General features: G+C 43.7%; 1 annotated feature.

Moving 5' to 3' along the window:
* Positions 479 to 704: a silencer, noted in NCBI's record as "fragment chr4:85283860-85284085 (GRCh37/hg19 assembly coordinates)". NCBI's record gives its function as "represses an EF-1alpha promoter that drives an FKBP-Casp9 reporter gene in an ReSE screen in HepG2 liver carcinoma cells {active_cell/tissue: HepG2}" and the evidence as "EXISTENCE:reporter gene assay evidence [ECO:0000049][PMID:32094911]".

A 2,391-nucleotide genomic window follows, 5' to 3' on the forward strand; every position in this document is an offset into this window, starting at 1 on the left:
TCTTGAGACTCTCTGGAAGAGCAAAGTTGTTATGCTGGAAGAGTGAACCCACAGATGCCCCAGCCACGGCTCCAAGGTATCCCACTCACAGCCTTCAAGCCAACTCCCAGTGCTAGACAGTACAAGAAGCCAAGCCAAGAACTTCTAGGGGTAGCAGCCACATCTCAAGAGCTCCAGAATCTGTTGGGCAATGCAAAGCCCTCTCTATTACATGTAAAATTCCAGAAAGCCCATTTGATGAAAATAAGATTACATTTCACTGTTAAGGCCATTTCATTGCCTTATGTGTTTAAAACGTATTTGGAAATACAATGTGTGGTTTGAGAATGCAGGCTGCGGTATGTTCCCATCCCTCGTTCTTCCTTTACTTGATGGACAGCCCTTCAACAGATTTTTTGACTCCCAGGGCTGATGAGAGAGAGGTGAGGGAGTGAGCAGCAAGGGGGCGGGGAAGAGCTGGCACTTCAGGAGGCAACTTCCAGTTGCTTTATTTCTTCAGAATTTAAGAAACCACTCTAATGAGCCCAGTCCTCCCCAATAAAACCAGTCGCCTCTTATATCCTGGCTGCTCCATATTAAACTGGCACAGAAGCACTTAACCTGCTAGATCGCCTTTCTCCAGACACCTGCCCAAGCAGCAGACTAAACAAACAGGGATTCTCCACTGCGCAAAAGTTGGCTTCTTTCACTAGGTCTCCCATCTGTTAAAAAGCCATTGTCTGAGAAAGTGTTCAGCTAGCTGGAGAGCGAGAGTGATTGCATACTGAACTGCCCCCTTTTCCCCATAAAAAGTCCTCTTTAGCATTTTCTTTTCTCCCCGGTTTTCATTGCCTGATTTATTCATTGGTTTCACCTCTTCTCCCCTCCCCCTTGGTTCGGGAGGAGAGCCTCCTTGTCTTCGGTTTCTGAGGGGTCATGTCTTTTCAGTCACTAGGACAATACCCGCTGCTGGCATCTGCTTCCAGATCCAATCAGCCATATTGTGAACACATCCTGCCAGAGAATTGTTCCTCCTTTTGCTCGGCTTTGTTGCCAATTTCATGCCATGTATTGCTCCATGTTTTGTGCTTCATGAAGCTGTCACAGGCATAAAAGTGGTCTGACCAGGGTCGTAGTAAAAGGGGTGGGAATGAAACATCCACCAAAATGTTGAGCAGGCCACCCACAGTCCACACACACACACACACACACACACACACACCACATGCTCACACACCCACACCCATATGCAGCCCACACACACACTCATACACAATCCACACTTACCCAGTCCTCACACTCACACCGAGCACACATACACACACAGTACACACACTCCCAGAACCCACACACAAACACACACACTCCACACATGCACAAAGTATACACAATCCACATACACTCACAATTCACACACACAATACACAGTCCCTCCCAGGACACACACGCAATTTGCACATATTTATAACATAAACACAAACTCACACACATTTGGGGCTCTCACCCATTTTCTTTTCTTTCCCCCAAGATTTCATTGGTACCCTTGTGAGATACTTTGTGTTCCCCAAGGGGGATAAACAGTTTTACAAGGAGTCAAAGAGTTTGGCTCCCTTCATAATGATAAGGAATATACTAAGTTGAGGGAAGGGGTGTCTTGAAAGTTAAAGAAAGAGTTCAGGGTTTTTTGTTTTTCTTTTTCCTCTGAGGTGTTTCTTATTACATGTAAAATAGCAATAATCCCTTAGTGCACAATCTTAAAAACATACCACAAAATACTTTAAAAAGTAAATTAAATTACTCCAGATTTAAAGAACATGATAAAACCCATATTCATCGATCCTCCTTTTGGGGACATTAACCTCTCATAAAGAACAACAATATACAATTATAGGAAAACATGTCAACAAAAACGTGAAAATTATCCTCTTGGATTTGGAAGAAGGTGCCTATAAGTCTCCTCCTCTCCAAGTTATGATTCCTGGGTACAGGAGTATCACAATTTATCAAGAGGCTCTTTGTAAACTCTGGATTCGCCTGCCAGAGCACAAAAGACTAAACTCCATTGCAAAGCATTTCTGAAACACAGGCTTCAGGAAGAAGGGGAACTGGGGTTACTGGTCCCATCACCCAGAGCCCACTGATTGAACTGGGTCTAACTGCTGGCTGCCAGCCAGCCTGAAGGGAAGTTGCATTTCTCCTTCATGTCATAAGTCAAGGGGAAAAAGGGAGGGAAAATGGATATCAAAAACTCAGAATCCTCACGGTGGAAATTTCATGGATGTTTTCTCATTTTATTTCTATGGCGAGTATTTGCTTATTTATTCCAAAAAGTTCTAGAGATTCTGAATGTAGCTTCTGTATAGTGTATTATATCTCTACTTATATTTTTCCATGTTTCTATCCCAGCACCAT

Source organism: Homo sapiens, chromosome 4 (genome assembly GCF_000001405.40).
Source record: "Homo sapiens chromosome 4, GRCh38.p14 Primary Assembly".
In the NCBI taxonomy this organism is placed as follows: domain Eukaryota; kingdom Metazoa; phylum Chordata; class Mammalia; order Primates; family Hominidae; genus Homo; species Homo sapiens.